We start from the raw sequence: 26,185 nt of genomic DNA on the forward strand, positions 1-26,185 counted from the left end.
AGCCGGACCCCCGATGGGGCGGTGGGGGGCCTCGCCTTGACTCCCAGAGCTGGGGCCGGGGACAGGAGCTGGGGCAGGAGGGATGCGCGCGGGTCGGGGTCTTCCCACCTCCCCTGCTCCTCTCCCTCGCGCGATCCCGGGGTGGTTCCAGGTGAGGCGGGGACCCCCACCCCCCCACTCTCCGAGGAGGCGCCGCCAGCCCCGCCCCTCCCGGCCCGGCGGGTGACGTGGCCGCGGCTCTCCCGCGGGTGGGTCACGTGTTGGCGGCGCCTGGTTGCCTTGGCAGCGGCTGCGGCGGCCGCGGGGGCGGGGTGGAGGCGGGGCCGGGGGACCCCGCGCGACCGGCGGAAGGAGGGAGGGGGCCGCGCTCGGCGCCCCGGCCGGGCCACTGGGCCACAGGCCACGCGGCCACGCAGTCCGAGCGGGAGCCGAGCCGGGCGGGGCGAGGGCAGCTCCGGTGAGTGTGGCGGCGCGGGGGCCTGGCGCGGGGAGCGGGGTCCCTGCGGCTGGGGGGGCCGGAATTGGACCGGGGACGCTCGGCGGGGAAGGGGACGACTGTAGGCTGCCCGGGCGCGGTCACTACCCATCCGGGGTTGGTGACCTCCACCCCGCGGGATCCCTGGCGGGGTGCGGCGCCCAGAGGATCAGGGTCGGCGGCGCAGCCGGTTCCGGACACCGGGGCGTCCCTGGGGGAGGGACAGGGATGCAGCCTAGCGCCCCTGGGAGGCCCCCTCCCAGTGCGCCTGCTGGAGAGAGACACTCGCCATTGCCGGTGCCCCAGATGCTTAGAGGAAGTCAAACTCCAAGACCGCCCTCTGGAAATGTGTCCAGTAGGCCAGCCAGGAAGAAAAGCTCATCTCTAGAGAGGGGATCGCGTTATTCTACAAGACCTGTTTTCTCGGACTGCTCATTAAAGCAAAAAAAAAAAAAAAAAAAAAAAAGCAACCCCACAAGGTTCAGTCCCGGAGCATCCTCTAGGGTCTGTGCCACCTGACAGAAGTACAGGGCTCCATCCTGCCCCACCCCACCCCCTGCCTGGGATCCAGTGTGAGGCCCAGACTCTGTCCCTCCCCCTGGGCCACCGGGCCTGGCACACACAGTTGGCATTGGGAACATAAAGGATGGATTTGAACCCCCTCCTGGGCTGCTCCTTCGAGACCTGGAGACCTGTCTCAAGACCCAGCTCCAGGCAGACAGACATCGTTTCCTCCACAATCCCACCCACTCTGGGGACATCTGCAGGGCCTCACCGATGGGGCATGGGAGGCCTGGCGGCTCCCAGGAAGCCACCCTCAGCCCTCACTGCCCTGAGCTCTTCACCTCCACTCTCAGACCTGAGCCCAGCCCACCCTTACTGATGGGGCATCCCTCTTGTTCACCCTTCCTTCCTTTGGAGGCCACCAGGCTCTCCCTTGCGTCCCACTCCTGCCAGTCGGCCAGCCATTTCCCTGGGTTGAACTGTGGTCCCAAACCAGAATGATCTAGCAGTGCCCAGACCGTTCCACTCACCAATTTCTTCCATTCTCCTGTGGCTGGACGCCCAGTCATGCTGCCCAGACCCTCTGGCTCATTCCACAGCCCCAGGCTCCAAGTGTCTTCCACCCACATCTCCCTGCCCCCTCCACCCCCCAGGTGGCAGCCAGTCTTCCCTCCATATCTCCTGGACAAGGAGAGCCACCCCACATGTACACCTGGAGTGGCCTTCCCGTCTCTCGGAATCCTTCCATGCAGGCAGCATCTTGTCTTTGAGGAAAGGTCCCTCTTTTTTAAAATTCTTTTTAGAGGCCAGGCGCAGTGGTTCATGCCTATAATCTCAGCACTTTGGGAGGCCAAGGTGGGCGGATCACTTGAGCTCAGGAGTTCTAGACCAGCCTGGCCAACATAGCAAAACCCTGTCTCTACCAAAAATACCAAAAATTAGCCAGGTATGGTGGCACACACATGTAGTCCCAGCTACTCGGGTGGTTGAGGCGGGAGGATCGCTTGAGCCTGGGAGGTAGAATTTGCAGGGAGCTGAGATTGTGCCACTGCACTCCAGCCTTGGTAACACAGCAGGACCCCATGTCAAAAAAAATTATTTTTAGAGACAGCGTCTTACTCTGTTGCCTAGGCTGGTCTCCAGCTCCTGGCCGCAGGTGATCCTCCCACCTTGGCCTCACAAAACACTGGGATTACAGGCATGAGGCACTTTGGCATGCAAAGGGCCGCTCTGTCCCCTCCCCGGTGTTACCTGCAAGCACCTTTTCCTGGCCTTGGTGTGAGGCAGCCAGTCCTCTGCTCCCTGCCCTCCATTGAAGCCTTTAGCTCAGTGGATGAGGATTGCCCCCCCCTCTTTTTTTTTTTTTTTTTTGAGATGGAGTCTCGCTCTGTTGCCCAGGCTGGAGTGCAGTGGTGTGCTCTTGGCTCACTGCAACCTCTGCCACCACACCCAGCTATTTTTTTTTTTTTAAGACAGAGTCTCACTGTGTCACCCAGGCTGGAGTGCCGCGGTAGGATCTCAGCTCACTGCAACCTCCGCCTCCTGGGATCAGGCAATTCTCCTGCCTCAGCCTCCTGAGTAGCTGGGATTACAGGCGCCCACCACCATGCCCAGTTACTTTTTGTATTTTTAGAAGAGACAGGTTTCCACCATGTTGTCCAGGCTAGTCTCGAACTCCTGACCTCTAGTGATCCGCCCACCTCAGCCTCCCAAAGATGACAGGTGTGAGCTACTGCTCCTGACCCACATCCCCTTACCTTGCTCCCCTACTGGGAGGCCATGAATTCTGGCCTCTTTCATCTTGGATCTTTAAGTACCAAGTGCGCTAAGCACCTGTGTGATGGAGGAGGGAGGACGGAGGGAGCAAAGGTTAGCGTCTCACCCCTCCAGTCTCTGTATACTGCGGTCATCAGACCTGCATGCTCAATTCTGTTAACTATGGGGGTGGGGGGAGAGGAAAAATGCAGTTTCCAAATTACAGCATTTTCTATTATGTGGAGCTAACCTACGGATTGCAGCGTTTCTCTGAATTCTCCCCAAGGGAAGGAACGTCCCAGGGATGGAAGTGCTTGGATGCGGTGCTGCTGGCTGCGGATGTGCGCAAGGAGATGGGATGGAGAGCCTGAGTTGGCATTCGTATAAATGACCTGGTAATTGGCATCCCCTGGCAGAAATAGCACAGAACTGTTCCCAGAGGTCTTGTTGGCCAGGGAAGGCTGTGGCTTTGTAGCCTTGTTGAGAACAAAGGGAAAGGCGACACTGTTTTCCACCTCCAGCACCTTCCTGCGTAATTTCCAAATTGGGGCATTTTCAATTATGGGGGGCTCGACTCTGGCATGGATGGACTAAGTTTGGGGCATTTCCTCAGCTGCTGACCCTGTTAAGCACTCCCCACTCCACCCGTCCACCCCAGCCACGCTCCCTGGGACCTAGAAACACGGATCTGTGTGTAACAGCCTGACATAGACTTTCCGTGGGGCCTATGTGGGCCTGGACATAGAAGTTACTCTTTTCGTTTCTTTTTTTTCTTTTCTTTTCTTTTTTTGAGACGGAATCCTGCTCTGTCACCCAGGCTGGAGTGCAGTGGCGCAATCTTGGCTCACTGCAACCTCCGCCTTCTGGGTTCAAGCGATTCTCTTGCCTCAGCCTCCCGAGTAGCCGGGATTACAGGAGCCCGCCACCACACCTGGCTAATTTTTGTATTTTTAGTGGAGACAGGGTTTCACCATGTTGGCCAGGCTGGAAAAGTCACTCTTTTTGATGTCAAGTAAACCACAAGATGCCTGTGCCCTTGAAGCACGCCCTGCAGATTAATTAGAACTGGATCCTGGCGTGTGGCCGAGCAGCCCAGCTCCTTGGGACACACGCGACCGCCAATCCCCTACTTAGTGGAGATTTGGGTTTAAATTCACAAATCTTGACAGATCTGTCCTTCTGATGTTTAATCCGTGTTAGTCAAACCAGATGTTTACCAGGTGTGAGTCCAGGCATCTCCGCCTTCTGTTTCTCCTTAAAATGTGGTCATGTGAGTTGGTGGATTTCATTTTTCATCTTGCTAAAAGTTTGCCTTGTAGCTTGGATGTGGCTTTAGTTATGTAAGTCCAATATTTTTCTTAGGGTGAACTGTACTGATCAAAATTTAAGTTGAAGGCCAGGTGCGGTGGCTCACACCTGTAATCCCATCACTTTGGGAGGCTGAGACGGGCAGATCACCTGAGCTCTGGAGTTCAAGACCAGGCTGGCCAACATGGCGAAACCCTGTCTCTACTAAAAATATAAAAATTAGCCAGGCATGGTGGCACATGCCTGTAATCCCAGCTACTCGGGAGGCTGAGGCAGGAGAACGGCTTCAACCCAGGAGGCGGAGGTTGCAGTGAGCCGAAATTGCGCCACTTCACTCTAGCCTGGGTGACAGAGCGAGACTCTGTCTCAAAAAATAAATAAATTTAGAAAATAATAAAATGTAAGTTGGATCTGTGAAACTAGCAGCTACTTGGAAATGTTTATTCCATGGCTGGCACCTGGATGTTGGAAGAAGTCTTTCGTCTTCAGATGCATTATCTTATTCAAAAGCCCTAGAGGTGAGGCCGGGTGCAGTGGCCCACACGTGTAATCCCAGCACTTTGGGAGGTGTAAGAGGGAGGATCACTTGAGGCTAGGAGTTCAAGACCAGCCTGGGCAATATAGTGAGATTCCCGTCTCTAGGAAAAATTAAAACATTAGCAGGCATGGTCCTGTGCTTATGGTCCTAGCTCCTCAGAAGGCTGAGGCAGAAGCTTCCCTTGAACCTAAGAGTTCGAGGCTGCAGTGAGCTGTGATCGTACCACTGCACTCCAGCCTGGGCAACAGAATGAGACTCTGTCTCTATTTTTAAAAAAAGTAGGCTGGACGCGGTGGGTCACACCTGTAATCCCAGCACTTTGGGAGGCTGAGGCAGGTGGATCACCTGAGGTCAGGAGTTTGAGACCAGCCTGGCCAACATGGTGAAACTCCATCTCTACTAGGAATACAAAAATTAGCCAGCTATGGTGGCGGGCGTCTGTAGTCCCAGGTACTTGGGAGGCTGAGGCAGGAGAATCGCTTGAAGCCGGGAGTCAGAGATTGCACCACTGCACTCCAGCCTGGGCAACTCGGCGAGACTGTCTCAAAAAAATATATCAAATCAAATAAAATAAAAATAAATAAAAAGTCCTACAGGTGGAAATATCCCCATTCTCACGATGAAAGAGCCAGGTCAGAAAGGTCAGCTGTCATGCTCAGAATCACACAGTAGAGTCAAATCCAGGTTTCATAACTTTAGGTCCTGGAAGGCTGGGCGCAGTGGCGCATACCTATAATCCCAGCAGTTTGGGAGGCTGAGGCAGGCAGATCACTTGAGGTCAGGAGTTCGAGACCAGCCTGGCCAACATGATGAAACCCCGTCTCTACTAAAAATACAAAAATTAGCCAGGCGTGGTGGCGGACACATAATCCCAGCTACTCAGGAGACTGAAGCAGGAGAATTGCTTGAACCTAGGAGCTGGAGTTTCCAATGAGGTGAGATTGCCCCACTGCACTCCAGCCTGGACGACAGAGTGAGACACTGTCTCAAAAACAAACAAACAAAGAAACATAACTTTAGGTCCTGGGCACTTTCTAAACCCCTGGGCTCTGGCGTGGGCTGTATATGGCAGCCTCTGTAGGTTGAATGGGCTTGGAGTCTAGCTCTTCCAGGCCGCAGTAACCTAGGATGTCTGAGCATGTCTCTCTCCCACCCTTAGCCTGGCTCCCACCATGAGTGCTGAGCTTAACGTGCCTATCGACCCCTCTGCTCCTGCCTGCCCTGAGCCCGGCCATAAGGGCATGGATTACCGGGACTGGGTCCGCCGCAGCTACCTGGAACTGGTCACCTCTAACCACCACTCGGTACAGGCCCTGTCGTGGCGGAAGCTCTACCTGAGCAGGGCCAAGCTGAAGGCCTCCAGCAGGACCTCCGCCCTCCTCTCCGGCTTTGCCATGGTGAGTGTGGGCGCCAAGTGAGGAGCACACTGGTCAGATGGGCTTTGCTAACTGAGGTCCCGGGATGCCTCAGGGACCAGAGCCTTCCCTCCAGTCTCTGGCAGCCAGGATGGACCAGTAGGAAGCATCCACCCACGTCCCAGCTGCTCTAAGAGGACGACTCTATCAGTGCGAGTGGGGGCGCTGGGAGTTGCCAGGGGCTCCCAGCTCTAGAATCTTCAGAAAGCCCACTTTGTCCTGTTCACATCAAGTATTTGCTTAGCAAGGAGGGAGGTTGGTGCGGGGTAATTATAGTAGCTCAGGTTCTGTGACTCACACCTGTAATCCCAGCACTTTGGGAGGCCAAGGTGGGAGGATAGCTTGAGGCCAGGAGTTTGAGACCAGCCTGGGCAACACAGGGAGACCCCTGTCTTTACAAAAATAAAATAAATAATTAGCCGGACGTGGTGGCGTGCACCTATAGCCCCAGCTACTTGGGAGGCTGAGGCAGGAGGATCACTTGAGTCCAGGAGGTGGAGGCCTCAATGAGTTATGTCCACACGACTGCACTCCAGCCTGGACGTCAGAGTGAGACCCCATCTCTAAAAAGAAAAAATAAAATTTATTTATTTATTTTGGCCAGGCGTGTTGGCTCACACCTGTAATCCTAACACTTTGGGAGGCCGAGGTGAGTGGATCACTTGAGATCAGGAGTTCGAGACCAGCCTGGCCAACATGGTGAAACACCGTCTCTACTAAAAGTACAAAAAAATTAGCTGGGTATGGTAGCAGGCGCCTGTAATCCCAGCTACTTGGGAGGCTGAGACACAAGAATCGCTTGAACCTGGGAGGCCGGAGGTTGCAGTGAGCCAAGGTCACGCCACTATACTCCAGCTGGTCAAGAGTGAGACTTTGTCTCGAAATAAATAGATTAATTAATTAAAAAGATAAAATCAAATCAAATCGCTGCATGGTACAGGGTTTCCTGAGAAAAGGCGCCCATGTCTGCCCCGTCTCAGGCACCACCCAAAAGTTTGGAACTCTCAGGGATCTCTGAGCAGGGCCTCAGAGATTGATTGGGGTTGGATCAGTTTAGCCCAGTTAGCGATGCAGACGTTCCTGGAATCTGGCCTCCAGGGTGACAAAGGAGAGCTTTTGGCCTGGCTCCCAGCGGCCGCCTTCCTTCTGAGTCATCCCCTAGGACAAGAGTCAGTTTCCGACAAAGCTGCGGCTCTGACAAGGGGCCCATCTCCTGTTGACTCCAAAGCCGCTGACCCACACCCCTGGAGGGAATTGTCCCAGAGGTTAAGGACTCACAGTGAGGACACAACAGTATGCTCACAGGTCCTATTGGGTGGAAGTGATTTATTTGTTTTTTGTTTTGTTTTTAGAGACAGGGTCCCACTCTGTTGCCCAGGCTGGAGAGGGCGGTGGTGTGATCATGGCTCACTGCAGCCTCTACCTCCTGAGCTCAAGCCATCCTCCTGCCTCAGTCTCCTGAGTAGCTGGAATTATAGGCACGTGCCACCATGCCTGGCTAATTTTTTTTTTCTTTTTTCAGAGACAAGTTCTCTGCTCTGTTGCCTAGGCTGGAGTGCGGGGGTGCAATCATGGCTCACTGCAGTCTTGAACTCTCAAGTGATTTTCCCACCTCGGCCTCCCAAAGTGCTAGCATTGCACCTTGTCCAGCCTGTTTCCTTATGTGAAAACAATTATTGTTTTTCTTTTTGTTTGTTTTTGTTTTTGTTTTGAGATGGAGTCTTGCTCTGTCACCCAGGCTGGAGTGCAGTGGTGTGATTTCAGCTCACTGCAGCCTCTGCCTCCTGGATTCAAGCGATTCTCCTGCCTCAGCCTTTCGAGTAGCTGGGACTACAGGCACACATCACCACGCCCAGCTAATTTTGATATTCTTAGTAGAGATGGGGTTTCACCATGTTGGCCAGGCTGGGCTCGAACTCCTGACCTCAGGTGATCCGCCACCCTCGGCCTCCCAAAGTGCTGGGATTACAGGCAGGAGCCACCGTGCCCAGCCTCTATTGTTTTTCTGTAGGCCGGAGCCTCAATTGTTAGATTGATGGTGCAATTTAAAAGAAAAAGCTGGCTGGGTGTGGTGGCTCACGCCTGTAATCCCAGCACTTTGGGAGGCTGAGGTGGGCAGATCACCTGGTCAGGAGTTCGAGACCAGCCTGGCCAACATGGTGACACCCCGTCTCTACTAAAAATACAAAAATTAGCTGGACGTGGCGGCAGATGCCTGTAATCCCAGCTACTCCAGAGGCTGAGACGGAGAATTGCTTGAACCCGGGAGGCGGAGGTTGCACTGAGCCGAGATTGCATCACTGCACTCCAGCCTGGGCCATAGAGCGAGACTGCATCTCAAAAAAAAAAAAAAGAAAAAAAAAAAACCAGAGGTGGCTCTTGCTATGTTGCCCAGGCTGGTTTTTTTTTTCTTTAATTATTGTTATTTTTTTCTTCACCTTATACCAAGGGAGAAATATTGTTGTTTCATTTTGTTTTTTTCCCCCAAGTATTTTTGACCTGCGGTTGGTTGAATCTGCAGATGTGGAACTCATAGATACAGAGCACCAGCTGCAGTGGGAAGCAAGTGAACCATCTGGCGTGGAGCTGAGCCTTGGGGGAGCCGCAGTGCACCTGCTTGATTAGATTAGCATAGCGCCATCCGGTCAGATCGTTCTTCACACTGCAGGGCAGCCTGGGAAAAATAAGTGACAAATACAAATCATCAGAAACTGTAGCTGAGTCGGGGCAGGGCCCTGGGAACAGGCAAAGGTACAGATTGCTGGGTAGAGTTCGCCCTTTATAGTGTGTCTTCCCTCATTAGAATTGCAAAGCTGTTCCTTTGTCTAGCAACACGTGCTTATGCCTAACCTGAAGCTTAGTTCTTGATGCGTATTCTTCCCCCAACACAGAGAACCAGTGATCCAAGGCCCCACCTCATAAAACCTCTGCATAGGCCAGGCGGGGTGGCTCACGCCTGTAATCCCAGCACTTTGGGAGGCTGAGGTGGGCGGATCACTTGAGGTCAGGAGTTCCAGATCAGCCTGGCCAACATGGGGAAACCCTGTCCCTACTAAAAATATGAAAAGGAGGGCCGGGCGCCATGGTTCATGCCTATAATCCCAGCACTTTGGGAGGCCACGGTGAGCAGATCACTTGAGGTCAGGAGTTGGAGACCAGCCTGGCCGATCTGGTGAAACACTGTCTCTACTAAAAATACAAGAATTAGGCTGGGCGCAGTGGCTCACACCTGTAATCTGAGCACTTTGGGAGGCCGAGGCGGGCAGATCACGAGGTCAGGAAATGGAGACCATCCTGGCTAACACAGTGAAACCCCATCTCTACTAAAAATACAAAGATCAGCCATGCGTGGTGGCACACGCCTGTAGTCCCAGCTACTCGGGAGGCTGAGGCACGAGAATCACTTGAACCCGGGAGGCAAAGGTTGCAGTGAGCCAAGATCGCTCTACTGCACTCCAGCCTCGGTGGCAGAGCAGGACTCCGTCTCAAAAAACAAAAAAACAAAAATTAGCCAGGCGTGGTGGCTGGCACCTGTAACCCCAGCTTCTCGGGAGGCTGAAGTGGGAGGATCACTTGAATCCGGAAAGGGGAAGTTGGAGTGAGCCGAGAACATGCCACTGCACTCCACCCTGGGCAACAGAGAGGGAGACTCCGTCTCAAAAAAAAAAAAAAACATTAGCCGTGGTGGCGCATGCCTGTAGTCCCAGCTATTGGGGAGACTGAGGAAGGAGAATCACTTGAACCCGGGAAGCAGAGGTTGCAGTGAGCCGAGACAGCGCCACTGCACTCCAGCCTGGGCAACAGAGCAAGACTCTGTCTCAATAAAAAAAAAAAAATTAATTTAAATTTAAAAAATGCTGCATAAACACAGTGAAAAATTGCCTTCTCTTTTCTTCTTCTTCTTCTTCTTCTTCTTCTTCTTCTTCTTCTTCTTTTTTTTTTTTTTAATAGAGATGGGGTCTCGTTTTGTTGCCTGGGCTGGTCTTGAACTCCTGGGCTTAAGTGATCTCCCGCCTCAGCTTCCCAAAGTGCTGAGATCACAGGTGTGAGCCACCTCACTCAGCCCCTTTTCTCCTTTTTTTTTTTTTTTTTTGAGACGGAATCTTGCGCTGTCTGTCGCCCAGGCTGGAGTGCAGTGGCGCGATCTCGGCTCACTGCAAACTCCACCTTCCGGGTTCACGCCATTCTCCTGCCTCAGCCTCCCAAGTAGCTGGGACTACAGGCGCCCGCTTTTCTCCTTTTAAGGTGGAACAAAACCACTTTTTGCAAGCCCTGCCCCTACCTCATAATCATCTTTATTTCCTGTCTTGGAGGCCTCTGTGGTTTGTAATATTTGTCACTTGGGCCATTTCCTTTGAGGTGACCATAGCCAACCCAGGGCCACACTGAGAAAAACCACCCCTCAGCCCATGTTCCGTGGCTACTGGTTTTTGGATACGTTTCACAAGGGCCCCAACTGTATTACTGCTGAGTTGTTTTTCGGCTCTGGTCCACTAGGACTGCCATGTCTTCTTTTTTCTTTTTTGAGATGTAGTCTCGCTCTGTCTCCCAGGCTGGAGCACAATGGCACGATCTTGGCTCACTGCAACCTTTGCGTCCCGGGTTCAAGAGATTCTCCTGCCTCAGCCTCCCGAGTAGTTGGGATTACAGGCACCCACCACCACGCCCAGCTAATTTTTGTATTTTTAGTAGAGATGGGGTTTTACCATGTTGGTCAGGCTGGTCTCGAACTCCTGACCTCAGGTGATCCGCCCACCTCGGCCTCCCAAAGTGCTGGGATTACAGGCACCCGGCCATATCTTCTTTTATCTAGGAAGTGTTCCCTCACCACTGAAAGCGAGGTGAAGAAATGAGCTGCTAAGAGGTGGCAGTTGCTGAAGGACATTATGAAATCTTCATATATATTATTTTATTTTATCTTTTACTTTATTTTTTCCCCAGACAGGATATCGCTCCATTGCCCAGGCTGGGGTGCAGTGGTACATTCATAGCTCACTGCAGCCTCTAACTCCGGGGCCCAGCCTTGTGAGTTATTTTTTTATTTTATTTTATTTTATTTATTTATTTTTTTGTGGCAGGGTCTCACTCTGTCTCCCAGGCTGGAGTGCAGTGGCATGATCTCAGCTCACTGAAACCCCTGCCCGCCAGATTCAAGCGATTCTCCTGCCTCAGCCTCCCAAGTAGCTGGGATTACAGGCACGAGCCACCATGCCCGGTTCATTTTTGTATTTTTCACAGAGAAAGAGTTTTGCCATATTGGCCAGGCTGGTCTCCAACTCCTGACCTCAAGTGATCCGCCCCCCCCCGCCCCCCACCCTCCAGCCTCTTAAAGTGCTGGGATTACAGGCATGAGCCACCGCACCTGGCCTGAGTTTTGTTGTTTTTTTTTCTTTAAACAGGGATGGCTTAGGTCTAGGAGGGAAACAGTGGAAACAGTGGGTAGAAGAACCTTCCCCAGGCTTCTTCTTTTTTTTTTTTTTTTTTGAGACAAAGTCCTGCTCTGTCACTTAGGCTGGAGTGCAGTGGCATGATCTCCATTCACTGCAACCTCTGCTTCCTAGGTTCAAGTGATTCTCCTGCCTCCGCTTCCTGAGTAGCTGGGATTACAGATGCCCACCACCACGTCCAGCTAATTTTTTGTATTTTTAGTAAAGACGGGGTTTCACCATGCGGGCCAGGCTGGTCTTGAACTCCTGACCTCAAGTGATCCACCCACCTCGGCCTCCCAAAGTGCTGGGATTATAGGTGTGAGCCACCGCGCCTGGCTGACCTCACATTTCAAGACACCAAGCAGAGCCTGCCGTTCCTTGGTTTGTTCGTTTTAGACTCTACCTGCTGTAGCCTCCGACTACGGTTGATGATTTTGCTTCCTTAGCAGACCCAGCCATGCCTCCTTTCCACAGCTTCCCTCCTCACCCTCGGCCTCACTTCCGTCACCTTTCCCGAGCTTTAGAGATGCCGGCTCTCACTGGGCTTTTGGCCTCTGCTGAGGAGGCACCATGTGGTCTGTCTGAGGCCATCCAGGTGTGCAGCTCTGAGTCTGGGGACTCTCCGCACTTTCAGTTGTTCTGTTTTAAAAGGTCAGTTTCCGTTTTTTGTTTTTTTTTTTTGTCAAGATGGGCTGTCACTATGTTGCCTAGGCTGGTCTCAAACTCCTGGGCTCAAGCGATCCTCCTGCCTCTGCCTCCCAAAGTGCTGGGATTACAGGCATGAATCATCGTGCCTGGTCAGTTTTTACCTTTTGAAAGGTCAGTTTCCTTTTTTTGTAGAGACGAGGTCTCACTCTGTCACCCGGGCTGAAGTGTAGTGGTGTGATCATAGCTCACTGCAGCCTGTTATCTCCCGGGTTCAAGCGATCCTCCCACCTCAGTCTCCTCAGTAGCTGGGACTACAGGCATGTGCCACCATGCCCGGCTAATTTTGTATTTTTTATAGAGACAGGGTCTCCTTCTGTCCCCCAGGCTGGAGTGCAGTGGTGCAATCGGGGCTCCCAGCAGCCTGGAATTCCTGGCCTCAAGTGATCTTCCTGCCTCAACCTCCCAAACCACTGGGATTACAGGCATGAACCATTGTACCCAGCCAGTTTTTCACTTCTTTCTTTTGTTTCCTTCCTTCCTTCCTCCCTCCCTCCCTTTTCTCTTTCTTTTCTTTCTTTTCCTTCTTTCTTTTTCTTTTCTTTCTCTCTCTTTCTTTCTCTCTTTCTCTTTCTCTCTCTTTCTTTCTTTCCTTTCTTTTCTTTCTTTAACTTTCGTGGCTTGTTTTCTTTTGAGACAGAGTCTCACTGTGTCACCCAGGCTGGAGTGCAGTGGTGAAATCTTGCCTCACTGCAACCTCCACCTCCCAGGTTCAAGTGATTCTCCTGCCTCAGCCTCCCGAGTAGCTGGGATTACAGGTGCCTGCCACCACGCCCGGCTGCTTTTTGTATTTTTAGTAGAGACAGGGTTTCACCATGTTGGCCAGGCTGGTCTCCAGCTCCTGGCCTCAAGTGATCCACCAGCCTTGGCCTCTCAAAGTGCTGGGATTATAGGCGTGAGCGACCACGCTGGCCTCTTCTGTACTGTTGAGATGTTTTTCTCAGTGCAGTCTTCTTTAGATAATTAGAACAAAGGAAAATGTGAAACATTTGATCAGTGAGGAGGTTGCCCTCTGGTCTTCCAGGGCCCAGAACATGGGTGAGTCCTGCCAGCAGGCAAGCCCATGGCTACCCTGTCCCCCGAACCTGGCCCAGCCCCTGCTCTGCCTGGCAGGTGGCCCTGGTGGGGCCATACCTTGCCCTCTCCACACCCAGCACCACTCGTCTGCTGTCCCCGCAGGTGGCCATGGTGGAGGTGCAGCTGGAGACGCAGTACCAGTACCCGCGGCCGCTGCTGATTGCCTTCAGCGCCTGCACCACGGTGCTGGTGGCCGTGCACCTGTTCGCCCTCCTCATCAGCACCTGCATCCTGCCCAATGTGGAGGCCGTGAGCAACATCCACAACCTGAACTCCATCAGCGAGTCCCCGCATGAGCGCATGCACCCCTACATCGAGCTGGCCTGGGGCTTCTCCACCGTGCTTGGCATCCTACTCTTCCTGGCCGAGGTGGTGCTGCTCTGCTGGATCAAGTTCCTCCCCGTGGATGCCCGGCGCCAGCCTGGCCCCCCACCTGGCCCTGGGAGTCACACGGGCTGGCAGGCCGCCCTGGTGTCCACCATCATCATGGTGCCCGTGGGCCTCATCTTCGTGGTCTTCACCATCCACTTCTACCGCTCCCTGGTGCGCCACAAAACGGAGCGCCACAACCGCGAGATCGAGGAGCTCCACAAGCTCAAGGTCCAGCTGGACGGGCATGAGCGCAGCCTGCAGGTCTTGTGAGGGGCCGAGGGCCGGGGCTGGGAGCGGCCCTGTGCCCGGGAGTCCGCAGAGGCGGGGATTTGTCAGATGCAGACATTTTGCAAGGCTGCCGGGTAGTTCAAGACCAAAGTTTTCCTCTTGTCTTAATACCATAAGGACTGGATGACTTCTCCTGAGATAGAACCGTTTGGTTCAATGAGGGACTGTGTTGCTAAGAGCGTTGGGGGCAAAGCCAGGCTGGTTCCTTGGCCTCGGGGTTTCCTGGGTCGGGGACACGGTGAAGAGGCTCCAGCGGGACCTGCCCATCAGTCCTGGGCCAGGAGGGGCTCCAAGCAGCACCCAGCGGTCCGGGGGAGTCTCAGACCCGGCATGCGTGGCTGGCAGACCTGGGAGAGCCAGGGCAGGGTTTTGCGTTCAGAGAAGGATTGCCCCAGAGACCCGTGGTGGACTTCATGGGTGCTGAGTGGCCCGTGTGACAGTGATGACACGAAGGCTTCGGCGTTTGAGTGGGTGCAGGTGCACGCCAGGGCTTGGTGCTTCCCTGCCTGGCCCTGGAGGGAGCTGGGTGGCCTGGCTTCAGGGGAAGACAGGAGCCAGGACACACGTCAGCCCAGCAGGTGTGGGGGGTGCTGCAGCCCTCGGCAGTGGGGTCAGGCCCTGGGGGATGTTTCCAATGGTGGGCAGCCTGGCCAGGCCGGAGAAGACATGTTCACGGGCATCTATCAGATGCCCCCTTGAGGAGGCTGAGTTATTTGAGGGCTGCTGCAAAGTACGCTAGGCTCAAATTCTCTTTTCCCAGCCAGAGCCCTGGCCACACGGACTCAGAGGGGCCACCGGGGTGGGGAAAGGACCCCTCCCCCACCCCCCGCAGCCACTGGCCTCCAGCTCTCGGCCACAGAATGGCCTCTAAGGCTGACTCAGCCACTCCCTTGGGCTGTGGCAGCAGGAGGCGGGGGCTCTGGCTCAGGCCCCGGAGCCTGTGCAGCTTGCCCATGGCCCTAGGCAGCGAGGGGACAGCCTGGGGGACTTCCTGCCTAGGCAAGGTCATTGGCCGGGCCTGGCCTGTGGATAGTGGGGCCAGGGGCCGGCCCAGGCCAAATGAGTGCCCTCCTTGTTATGACACCAAGTGACTACAAGGGAGGCAAGACCCCTCCAGGCCTCTCAGCCGACACTGGGTCCCACCACACACAGTGACTGTGCCGTGCAGTGCAGGTTCTGGCCTTTTCCTTGAAGGCATCTGGTAGACCCGAAGCCACGCTCTCGGGCCGCACATGCACGCCGCAGCACCAGCTGCCCTGAGCTGCTTGTACAACCAAACACCTTTCCCCTCTTCTCCAGCTGTAACCTGGAGAGTCAGCCATGCCTTGTCTTTTGTTCTCATAAATAGTCACTGGGGCCGGGCGCAGTGACTCACGCCTGTAATCCCAGCACTTTGGGAGGCCTAGGTGGGCGGATCACTTGAGGTCAGGAGTTCGAGACCAGCCTGGCCAACATGGTGAAACCCTGTCTCTACTAAAAAAATACAGAAAATTAGCTGGGCGTGGTGGCGGGCGCCTGTAGCCCCAGCTACTTGGGAGGCTGAGGCGGGAGAATGGCAATGGCGTGAACCCGGGAGGCAGAGCTTGCAGTGAGCTGAGATGGCGCCACTGCACTCCAGCCTGGGCGACAGAGCCAGACTCCATCTCAAAAAAAAAAAAAAAATTAGCCGGGCGTGATGGCGGGCACCTGTAGTCCCAGCTACTCAGGAGGCTGAGGCAAGAGAATCACTTGAACCCAGGAGGCAGAGGTTGCAGTGAGCTGAGATCACGCCATTGCACTACAGCCTGGGCAACAAGAGCGAAACTTTGTCTAAAAAAAAAAAAAAATCACTGGGCTTCTTCATGCTCTGATCACATCTCTCGTAAAAGCTTAAGCTCTCTCCGGGGTCCGGGTTGGCCGTGCCGTGGAATTCTGGGTGGCCTGGCTGGGGTCTCTGGAAATGTGGCTGCAGCAGAGAACAGAGACCCTGACATGCAGTTTTCCGTGCTGAGGGGCCCTAGGGGAGTCACACCAAGGGTCCCCACGAGAAAGTTGTGGCATCCCCGGGGGCCGGAGAAGAGCCCCGTGTCTTCTGAGGGGTTCGTCCTTTGTGTCCCCTGCAGACATTTGTCTGCGACCTTTGCCCTCCAGCATGTATGTACTTTCCTGCAGCCTGTAGAAACGCCTCTTACGGTTTAATATGTGTTCGCTTTGCTAAAGAATATCAACATCGGCCAGGCGAGGTGGGGCACGCCTGTCATCCCAGCACTTTGGGAGGCTGAGGTGGGAGGATCACTTGGGCCCAGGGGTGCAAGACCAGCCTGGGCAACATAGCGAGACCCCATGTCTAAAAAAATTATTTTAAATTAGCCAGGCCGGGTGCAATGGCTCGCGCCCGTAATCTTAGCACTCTGGGAGGCCGAGGCAGGCAGATCACTTGAGATCAGGACTTTAAGACCAGCCTCGGCAACAACATGGTGAAACCATCTCTAGCAAAAATACAAAAAATTAGCCGGGTATGGTGGCGGGTACCTGTAATCCCAGCTACTCAGGAGGCTGAGGCAAGAGAATCGCTTGAACGCAGGAGGCAGAGGTTGCAGTGAGCTGAGATCGTGCCACTGCACTCCAGCCTGGACAACAGAGCAAAACTCTGTCTCAAAAAATAATAAATAAAAATAAATTAGCTGGGCGTGGTGGTGCATGCCTGTAGTTCCAGCTACTTGGGAGGCTGAGGTGGGAGGATTGCTTGAGCCTGGGAAGTAGAGGCTGCAGTGAACTATAACTGTGCTAGTGGCCGGGCGCAGTGGCTCACGCCTATAATCCCAGCACTTTGGGAGGCCAAAGCAGGTGGATCACTTGAGGTCAGGAGTTCGAGACCAGCCTGGCCAACATGGTGAAACTCTGTGTCTACTAAAAATACAAAAAATTAGCTGGGTGTGGTGGCGCTCGCCTGTAGTCCCAGCTACTTGGGAGGCTGAGGCAGGAGAATCACTTGAACCCAGAAGGCAGAGGTAGCAGTGAGCCAAGATGGTGCCACTGCACTCCAGCCTGGGCGACAGAGGGTGACTCCTCAAAAAAAAGAAAAATAGCTAAAATATGATTGTACCACTGCACTCCAGCCTGGGTGACAGAGTGAGACCCTGTCTCTAAAAAAAAAAAAAAGAAAATAAAGAAAAAAGAATGTCAGCATGTCAGCGTTCCTCCAAGGAGTGGCTTTGGGTCAAGAAGACAGGCTGGCTCTCCTAAACAAACGGCTCCCCACGGCTGGGAGAGGCAGCAGGCCCTTACTCTGGCCTGAGTCTTTTGGGAGGGGCCCTGCTGGGCCTTCTCCTGCCACCTACCTTCCTGGACCATCTGTGCCCCTGCCCACGCAGTACCACACTCCCCAGACTGTGGAACGCATCTCCAGTGCCATCTGGGGGCCAGTTACTGTACCTGGTCCCCAGGCAGAGCTCTTGGCCTGGCAGCATCCAGGCAGGTATTAAGTGCCCAGTGATGGTGGCACATGGGTGGGGACGGAGCCACATCCAAGTCTAGCCCTCTGATTAGGAGGATGACAGTCTTGGAATTTCTTGTTCTCTTTCTCCTAGGGTTCTCGTTCTCCCAGCTCCAGCCTTTCTAGTTTCGAGGCATGAGGCAAACCATTGCTGTGGGAATAGCAGTGACCATTGGTAGGGCCATGGTGGCCGGGAGAGGAAACCTCAGGGTCACCCCAGAGCCTGTGGGGAGACGGAGGGTGAGCTGTTGTTGGAGCTGCAGAAACGCCTTGAAGGGCAGCATGGGCGATGAGGAATGCCATTGCAGCCTAGAAATTCGGTTTCTGGAGGTTTAGCCTGATTTTGAAGAGTATTTAAGAACAGAGGGCTCCAGACCAGGTGTGGTGGCTCACATCTGTAATCCCAGCACTTTGGGAGGCAGAGGTGGGCGGATCGCCTGAGATCAGGAGTTCGAGACCAGCCTGGCCCACATGGTGAAACCCTGTCTCTACTAAAAATACAAAAATTAGCCGGGCGTAGTGACACACGCCTGTAATCCCAGCTGCTCGGGAGGCAGAGGCAGGAGAATGGCGTGAACCCGGGAGGCGGAGGTTGCAGTGAGCCGAGATCACGCCACTGCACTCCAGCCTGGGTAACAGAGCAAGACTCTGTCTCAAAAAAAAAAAAAAAAGAACAGGGGCCTCTGCCTCAGTTTGCCCGGGAGCCAGCCAGGGCCCATCCTAATTTGGAGCACAGTCTTCCTGGTGCCTAGACATGCCAAGGCCCCTCCCACGTGGTACACCCTCTCCGTTTAGTACCTGACCACCTGTTTCAAAACGCAGGTGTTTCTGGTTTAGAAACTTGGAAGGCGGAATGTGTTTTCGTGTCTTCTAGGAAGGGTCTGCTGAGGACCAGACCACGTAAGCCTGAGTGGATCCTGACTCAGCTGCAGCCCTTACCTGCCTCGTGCTGATGATCTATGCATGGCGTTATGTAGATCACGTGCGGCAGAGACAGCCACTGTCCTGTGTGCGGGTTTTTAAAACAGCTGCCCTGGATGAAACGGAATAAACCAGTGATGCTATTCAAAGTCTTTCTGTTCTTGGGGGATGCTGTGGGCAGAGGGGATAAATTGCAGCCCCTGGCCCTCCCGTGGCATCTGCTGACTGGGGGACCCACATCGTGGCCTGAAAAACTCCTGGAGCGCCCTCTGGCCTCCTGTCGCTGGTCACTGGCCAGTGTCCTCCCAGGCTGCCCCGGCAAGGGGGCGTGGACATCTCTAGAATGGAGGCAGGGTACTCATGTCCAGACACGCCGCCATGGGGCTCCGCCCCGAGAGCGCAGGGTGCCTCTGCCTGGCGCTTCCCCTCCCAGACAGGGCCCTCTCTTTCCAGAAACAAAAGAAGGGGCAGCCCCAGAGGGTGGCTGAGCGACAACAGAGCCCACCTGGACAGGGTCAGCTTGGCGTTCCCCCCAGTCCCTTGAGGAGAGGAGCTACCAGAGCACTGGTCACCTCAGGACATTCTCCAGCCCCAAGTCCCTGTGGGGCAGCAGGAACAGGTGGGTCCCTCCTGCGGGCTGGTGGCACTGCTAAGGAAGCACCAGACAGCCTTTTTTTTTTTTTTGAGACAGAGTCGCTCTGTCACCCAAGCTGGAATGCGGTGGCATGATCTTGGCTCACTGCAACCTCCTCCTCCCAGGTTCAAGCGATCTTGTGCCTCAGCCTCCCAAGTAGCTGGGATTACAGGCACGCACCACCATGCTTGGCTAATTTTTGTATTTTTAGTAGAGACGGGGGTTTCACCATGTTGGCCAGGCTGGTCTCCAACTCATGACCTCGTGATCTGCCCACCTCGGCCTCCCAAAGTGCTGGGATTACAGGTGTGAGCCAGCTTGCCCAGCTTATGTTTATAGATTTATTTTAGAGACAGGGTTGGGCTCTATTGCCCAGGCCAGAGCTGGAGTGCAGTGGTGCAATCATAGCTCTCTGCAGGCTCCAGCTTCTGGGCGCAAGCAATCCTCCCACCTCAGTCTCCCAAGTAGCTACACTTGGGAGACTACGGGCGCACACTACCATGCCCAGCTAATGTTTTTTTTGTAGAGATGGGATCTTGCTATGTTGCCCAGTCTGGTCTTGAACTTCTGGCCTCAAGCGACCCTCCTGCCTTGGCCTCCCAAAGTGCTGGGATTACAGGTGCGAGCCACCATGCCTGGCCCATTCTGTTTTTTGTCGGCCACTGAGGTAGAGGCCCTCTTCTAGGAAAGAATTTCTGTTTGTTTTGTTTTGTTTTGTTTTGTTTTTTTGAAACAGTCTCTCTCTGTCTCCCAGGCTGGAGTGCAGTGGCGTGATCTCAGCTCGCTGCAACCTCCACTTCCCAGGTTCAAGCAATTCTTCTGCCAAGCTGGGACTACAGGCATGCACCACCACCATGCCCTGCTAATTTTTGTTGTTGTCGTTGGTTTTTGAGATAGAGTTTCGCTCTTGTTGCCCAGGCTGGAGTGCAGTGGCACGATCTCAGCTCACCGCAACCTCCGCCTCCCAGGTTCAAGCAATTATCTTGCCTCAGCCTCCCAAGTAGCTGGGATTACAGGCATGCGCCACCACACCTGGCTTATTTTTGTATTTTTAGTAGAGATGGGGTTTCTCCATGTTAGCCAAGCTGGTCTCGAACTCCCGACCTCAGATGATCCGCCTGCCTCAGCCTCCCAAAGTGCTGGGGTTACAGGTGTGAGCCACCACACCCAGCCTTTCTTTTTGCATTTTTAATAGAGACTGAGTTTCATCACACTGGCCAGGCTGGTTTCGAACTCCTGGCCTCAAGTGATCCGCTGGCCTCAGCCTCCTAAAGTGCTGGATTACAGGCATGAGCCACCGTGCCAGGCCTTGTTAATATTTTTAACTCTGGCACTTCACCCTAGAGGCTGCTAGGAATCAGGTGTGCCAAGCAACTGGCACCACTCCATGGAAAGCGTCTAGGGCAGTGCCTTGGTTCTGCCAATCCTGAGAAGCCAGGCTGCCCCTTGGGCTGGGCAGTGGCCTCAGTACCGAGCCCCAGGCCAGCAAGCCCACAAGCCTCGAGAAAGACTGCACTTCCGGTGGAGGCTGCAGTTTCCTTAAAGGGAAAATCTGCCCCACCCCTGTCAAGGGCAGGACACAAGTCACTGGCATTGAAGGACCCACTCCACACCCAGCAGATCATCGACGCAGACTTTTTTTTTCCCAGATAGAGTCTCACTCTGTCGTCCAGGCTGGACTGCAATGGTGTGATCTTGGCTCACTGTAACCTCCGCCTCCCGGGCTCAAGTGATTCTCCTGCCTCAGCCTCCTGAGTAGCTAGGATTACAGGCGCCCACCATCACGCCTGGCTAATTTTTGTATTTTTAGTAGAGACGGGGTTTTGCCATGTTGGCCAGGCTGGTCTTGAACTCCTGACCTCAAGTGATCCTCCTGCCTCAGCCTCCCAAAGTGCTGGGATTATAGGCGTGAGCCACCTCGTCCGGCCCAAGACTTTTTGCCTCAGATGCTGCAGAGCCCTGGTGGGGCCCAGGAGGGCAAGGCCCACACAGGAGCCGAAACCCATGTAGAACCTGCCAACCTGTAGCTCACACCTATAATCCCAGCACTTTGGGAGGCTGAGGTGGGCGGATCGCTTGAGCCAAGGAGTTCGAGACCAGCCTGGGCAACATTACGAGACCCTGTCTCTACAAAAATACAAAAATTACCCGGGCTTGGTGGCTCGTGCCTATAGTCCCAGCTACTGGGGAGGCTGAGGTGGGAGAATCATCTGAGCCCAGGGAGGTTGAGACTGCAGTGAGCCAAGATTGTGCCACTGCACTCCAGCCTGGGTAAAATGAGTGAGACCACGTCTCAACCCCTTTCACAGCCCGTCTGCGGCCCACCCACCCATGGGTACTGTGGGATGGGGGACAGGCTGGCTTAACACAAATCGAGGCAGGAATAACCCCAGAGAATGGGCTTTGCATGGAGCTTGGCTCCTGTCCCTGCCTGTGAGGGAGGACCAGACTCGGCCTCACCACCTGCCACTCTGAGCAAACAGGCAACGGTGTTTCCTGAACATCTTTCTGAAGCGGCTGAGGGATGTCAGCTGAGCCCCCGCTGGGCCTGCTCTGGAGCGGGATGTCTCCAGAAGCCGCCCTTGGAGCGGGCACTTCCCTATTTGGGCGTGTCCCAGTCCCATGCCTCACCATCCCCTTGCTTGAAGCTCCAAGAGCATGAGAGTGGGCAGCCTGGTCTGCTGAGGAAAGTGTCTGATGGATGCGGAAATGGCCACCCCAAACACCGGTAAGCAGATGTTACCCTGCAGGCGGTGGCTCCTGGGGCCCAGCCCTGCAGAAACACATGGGGCAGGCTGGGCAGAGGGGCTCACACCCGTTATTCCCAGCGCTTTGGGAGGCTGAGGCGGGAGGATCGCTTGAGCCCAGGAGTTTGAGACCAGCCTGGGCAACATAGCAAGACTCTATCTCCACTAAAAATCAAAACAAAACAATTAGCTGGGTATGGTGGCACACGCCTGTAGTTCCAGCTACTGGGGAGGCTGAGGGGGAGGATCACTTGAGCCCAGGAGTTCAAGGCTGCAGTGAGCCATGATTGCGCCACTGCACTCCAGCCTGGGCAACAGAGCAAGACCCTGCCCCGCCGCCTGAAAGAAAGAAAAAAGAAAGAGAAAGGAAGAGAAAGAAAGGAAAAGAAAAAGGAAACATACGAGGCTATGGGGCCGTGTACGGGGGCCAGGCTGTGGCAGAAGCATCCTGGCGTGGCCTTCTCCAGCCCCATCCTGGTTGGGTAAGGTGTCGCCGTGGGTCTTCGTGTCACAGCTTCAAGGACAGACCCAACTCTGGTATCACAAACTTAACAGGTAATGGAGTTTCCTAAAGTGTGCTCTGCAGGAGTGCTGGAAGGGCCAGCATGGAAGGACCCCAGGGAGGGAGATTTCTTTGCTCCACAGCATCCCCAAGCCTCACGAGGCCTCTCCCCTCCAAGTCTCTATGTGCATCGTTCTCCAGATGTTGGAGCATCCTGCAGGGGCCAGCCCAGCCTGTCAGGGGCAGAGACCCTGCACTGGCCCCCTCGAGAGTGGACCCCTGGGCTGGCTTATCTGCTCCAGTGCAGTGAGGATCAGCTGGAGCTCCGACCTGACTCACATCTGGATGCGCAGTGAGGGGCCCGTTGGGGCCGTGATACTGGGAGGAAGCCGGGCTCTGTGCTCTTGCTCCAAGTGAGTTGACCAGGGAGCCGAAGTTAAGGTGGCCTGGGAGCCACGTCCTCCCACCTAGCGGCTGGGCTCTCACAGCCACTAGAAACCCATCAGCCTTTCCCCTGGGTCTATGCGGGGCTCTTCAGCCCTCCTGGGAGCTCAGTGGCTGGGATGCTGCTTTACAGACAGTGCACGGCTCTGCCATCTGACAGCTCCCAGAGGGTTCTGGGGGTGACTGTAAAGAGTGGTGCTGGCCCCGAACCTTTCCTGTTCCCCTGGATTTAGTTCCCAGCAGGTGGTGAGGAACTGAACATTTTGTCCCATAGTGGTGGGAGAGAGGGCTGGCCACATGGGTCCAGGCCACCCCCTCAGCCTCCACAGCCTGCCCCGCACCCAGCCACAGGAACAGCAGAGCAGCTCCCCCATCCAGGTAAGCGCCCCCACCACAGCCCCATCACAAAGGAATAGCCTCCTGGTGTAGTGGGAGGTGAGGAGCTTTTTTTGTTTTCCTTTTATTTATTTTAGGGACAGGGTCTTGCTCTGTTGCCAAGTTAAGTGCAGTGGTATGATCATGAGCTCACTGCAGCCTTGACATGGTGGTAAAGCCATCCTCCCGCCTCAGCCTTTCGAGTAGCTGGGACTACAGGTGTGTGCCACCATGCCCAGACGCCCAGCTAATGTTTGTATTTTTTGTAGAGATGGGGGTCTCACTATGTTGCCCAGGCTGGCCTCAAGCAATCCTCCCACCTGAGCCCCGCAAAGTACTCGGATTACAGGTGTGAGTCACCGCGCCTGGCCGGGAGCTTTAATTTTTCCTACTTGTTAACAGCGTTATGGGGCTGGAAGGAGGCTCTCAGATTTCCCTGCCCTCCTCACATCCCCCAACCCTCCCTGGGCGTGGGGGTGTCAAGCATGAGTCAGGCTGAGCCTGACTCTGAAGCTGTTCCCAGCTCTTTAGTCTAAACTTCAAATCTTCAACCCTGTTCCCTAATCCAACACATTCCCCAAATGAAGGGACTGGACAGTGAGATATCGGGAAACCCCATGAAAATAGATGCATAATAAAGGTGAAAATCATTTAAAATGTTCCCATTTTTTTTTTTTTTCAAAACAGTCTTGCTCTGTCACCGAGGCTGGAGTGCAGTGGCGTGATCTTGGCTCACTGCAACCTCCGCCTCCCAGGTTCAAGCAATTCTCCCACCTTAGCCTCCCGAGTAGCTGGGATTACGGCTGTGAGTCACCACACCCGGCTAATTTTTGTAGTTTTTGTAGAGACGGGTTTTCACCGTGTTGGCCAGGCTGGTCTCGAACTCCTGGCATCAAGTGATCCGCCCACCTCAGCCTCCCAAAGTGTTAGGATTACAGGTGTGAGCCACTGTGCCCGGCCCCCAGTATTTTTTAAGCTCAAATGATCCCATGTCCCCAAGACTGTGACAAACTAAATAACCAAAAAAGTGTGGCCACGGTCCAGGTGGAAGGGGGCTGCCTGGAGGTACGTTCCCATCAAAACCTGCTCCTGGGCAGGGCTCACACTGCTCACAGCATCAGGGGTCAGCCATCTTCTCTTGAAACCCCGTGAGTTGCAGGAGGCCCTGTTCTGTGCTCCTCATTTCAATCCCGGGATCAGTCAAGTCTGGAGCCAAGGAGGCGGTTCACACGGGTCTTCCCTGGAAGGAGAGGGCGATCCGCAGCAGTTCCTGGCCCAGCTCTTGCTGCCTCCCTCCAGGGCCAAACTCAGCCGACAGCTCCCGGAAAGTGACGCAGACGCGGCGGGCCTCGATGTGTCTGCGGTGGATGGCATGCTTCCACTGGTGCCGTGCCGCCCCGGTGAGGACCAGCAGGGAGCGGGCGGGTAAGGGGATGGCCACCTCCACCTCCTGGCATAGCACCGACCGGCTGGGTGCTATCACGCTGTCCACCAAGGCCTCCGGGGCAGCCGACGGGGCCGAGCAGAGGAGCAGGCTCCCGGGCGCCTCCCGACACATGGACAGCACGGTGGGGGACAGGAGGTTGAGGCTGACCAGCCGCTCCCCCCACAGCCAGGCGTCGTCCAGGTGGGGGTCAATGGCAGAGCCCCGCTCGGGGCAGTAGTCCAGGTTGCACTGCTCGACGGGCCGGAAGCCCTCCAGCCCCGGGTAGAGGCCCATCCTCCGCACCACCTCCCGGCTGAAGCTGGGGAGGCCGCAGAAGCCCTCGGTCTTTAGCTTCTGTTTCCGAAAGTTGACTTTGGGGCCATAGTCCTGAAGGATGAAGACAAAGAGGACATGAGGTGTCTGAGTTTACGAAGATGTCTACCACAGACTAGGTGGGAAGAATTCAGTCATAGTGACCCAGGCAAGCAAAAGCCCCCTGGCTTCATGGAGGTGAAGCAGGAGGAGGCAGACTCAAGGAGACAGAAGTGACAGCAAATGGCCGGGCATGGTGGTGCATGCCTGTAATCCCAGCGCTTTGGAAGGCTGAGGCGGAGGGAGCTCTTGAGGCCAGGAGTTTGAGACCAGTCTGGGCAACAAAGTGAGACCTCCTCTCTACAAGAAATTTAAAAATTAGGCTGGGCATGGTGGCTCACGCCTATCATCCTAACACTTTGGGAGGCCCAGGCAGGTGGATCGTTTGAGCCCAGGAGTTCCAGACCAGCCTGGGCAACACAGCAAAACTCTGTCTCTAGTAACAAAACAAAAATTAGACAGATGTGGTGGCACAGGCCTTAGTTCCAGCTACTTAGGAGGCTGAGGTGAGAGGACTGTTGGAGCTCAGGAGGTTGAGGCTGCGGTGAGTGGAGACTGAGCCACCGTACTCCAGCTTGGGAGACAGAATGAGACACCCTGTCTCAAAATAATAATAATAATAATTATCTGGGCTTGGTGGCACATGCCTTAGTTTCAGCTACTCAGGAGGCTGAGGTAGGAGGATCGCTAGAGCCTGGGGGGTCAAGGCTGCGGTGAGCCAATATCACATATTGCACTCCAGTCTGGGCGACAGAGCGAGACCCTGTCTCAAAAAAAAAAAAAAAACCTGTACACAAATGTTCACAACAGCCAAAAAGTGACAACAACGCCAATGTCCATCGACAGATGAATGAGGAAATGAAATGTACCAACATCCAACAGGATGTCACAAAAGAATGGGGCTGGGCGCGGTGGCTCACGCCTGTAATCCCAGCACTTTGGGAGGCTGAGGCGGGCGGATCACTTGTCAGGAGTTCGAGACCAGCCTGGTCAACATGGTGAAACCCCGTCTCCACTAACAGTACAAGAATTAGCTGGGCATGGTGGTGGGCACCTGTAGTCCCAGCTACTTGGGAGGCTGAGCCAGAAGAATGGCTTGAACCCGGGAAGCAGAGGTTGCAGTGAGTTCAGGTCATGCCACTGTACTCCAGCCTGGGTGGCAGAGCGAGACTCTGTCTCAAAAAAAAAAAAAAAAAAAACCTACAATGAAGGGAGAGGGGGCACCCGGGGATGTTTGGACACAGGTGGGGAAGGAGTTGGAGGGAGCGGCGGGCCCGGGGAGGGGGAAGGTGGGAATGCGTGTGAGGAGACAGGACACGGATGGTGACAATGGGAGGTGGGGGCGCCTGCAGCTTGGGAGAATGGGGTGCCTTCACCACCACCAAGCCAGCTACAGAGGGGCAGAGAGCCCAGGAGCGCATAT

General features: G+C 54.8%; 2 protein-coding genes across 6 annotated transcripts in view, besides 5 other annotated features; one reads left to right on the forward strand and one right to left on the reverse strand.

The window, feature by feature from the left end:
* Positions 1-780: a silencer, noted in NCBI's record as "silent region_18505". NCBI's record gives its function as "represses an Ori minimal core promoter by ATAC-STARR-seq in GM12878 lymphoblastoid cells {active_cell/tissue: GM12878}" and the evidence as "EXISTENCE:reporter gene assay evidence [ECO:0000049][PMID:35858748]".
* On the forward strand, positions 371-23,621 carry ORAI2 (ORAI calcium release-activated calcium modulator 2). Of its 4 annotated transcripts, none has more exons than NM_001271818.2 (4): positions 371-457; positions 2,998-3,129; positions 5,740-5,977; positions 13,309-23,621. In NM_001271818.2, the coding sequence occupies exons 3-4, from the start codon at positions 5,753-5,755 to the stop codon at positions 13,846-13,848; spliced, it is 765 nt and encodes a 254-aa protein (NP_001258747.1). In that variant the 5' UTR covers positions 371-457; positions 2,998-3,129; positions 5,740-5,752; the 3' UTR covers positions 13,849-23,621. The 4 variants fall into 4 exon arrangements, with proteins under 4 accessions (NP_001258747.1, NP_001119812.1, NP_001258748.1 ...); NM_001126340.3 differs by having other exon boundaries at positions 3,021-3,129; NM_001271819.2 differs by lacking the exon at positions 5,740-5,977 and having other exon boundaries at positions 3,021-3,129.
* Positions 11,839-11,918: an enhancer, noted in NCBI's record as "active region_26434". NCBI's record gives its function as "activates an Ori minimal core promoter by ATAC-STARR-seq in GM12878 lymphoblastoid cells {active_cell/tissue: GM12878}" and the evidence as "EXISTENCE:reporter gene assay evidence [ECO:0000049][PMID:35858748]".
* Positions 13,288-13,835: an enhancer, noted in NCBI's record as "H3K4me1 hESC enhancer chr7:102086939-102087486 (GRCh37/hg19 assembly coordinates)". NCBI's record gives its function as "activates a minimal SCP1, AML or CMV promoter by ChIP-STARR-seq in naive H9 embryonic stem cells {active_cell/tissue: H9 hESC(naive)}" and the evidence as "EXISTENCE:reporter gene assay evidence [ECO:0000049][PMID:30033119]".
* Positions 17,319-17,378: an enhancer, noted in NCBI's record as "active region_26435". NCBI's record gives its function as "activates an Ori minimal core promoter by ATAC-STARR-seq in GM12878 lymphoblastoid cells {active_cell/tissue: GM12878}" and the evidence as "EXISTENCE:reporter gene assay evidence [ECO:0000049][PMID:35858748]".
* Positions 21,508-22,008: an enhancer, noted in NCBI's record as "H3K4me1 hESC enhancer chr7:102095159-102095659 (GRCh37/hg19 assembly coordinates)". NCBI's record gives its function as "activates a minimal SCP1, AML or CMV promoter by ChIP-STARR-seq in primed H9 embryonic stem cells {active_cell/tissue: H9 hESC(primed)}" and the evidence as "EXISTENCE:reporter gene assay evidence [ECO:0000049][PMID:30033119]".
* Positions 23,034-26,185, reverse strand: part of ALKBH4 (alkB homolog 4, lysine demethylase) — an 8,626-nt gene continuing 5,474 nt past the window's right edge. For both annotated transcript variants that reach the window (XM_005250464.4, NM_017621.4), the window contains exon 3: positions 23,034-24,777. In XM_005250464.4, coding sequence (XP_005250521.1) covers positions 24,190-24,777 — 588 coding nt within the window. In that variant the 3' untranslated portion in view covers positions 23,034-24,189. The remainder of the gene's footprint in view (positions 24,778-26,185) is intronic.

This window comes from Homo sapiens, chromosome 7, assembly GCF_000001405.40.
Source record: "Homo sapiens chromosome 7, GRCh38.p14 Primary Assembly".
In the NCBI taxonomy this organism is placed as follows: domain Eukaryota; kingdom Metazoa; phylum Chordata; class Mammalia; order Primates; family Hominidae; genus Homo; species Homo sapiens.

Coding starts and splice junctions, on each gene's coding strand:
- ORAI2 (NM_001271818.2), top strand. CDS start 5,753: ATGAGTGCTGAGCTTAACGTGCCTATCGACCCCTCTGCTCCTGCCTGC. Junction 5,978..13,308: donor TCCTCTCCGGCTTTGCCATG/GTGAGTGTGGGC, acceptor CTGTCCCCGCAG/GTGGCCATGGTGGAGGTGCA.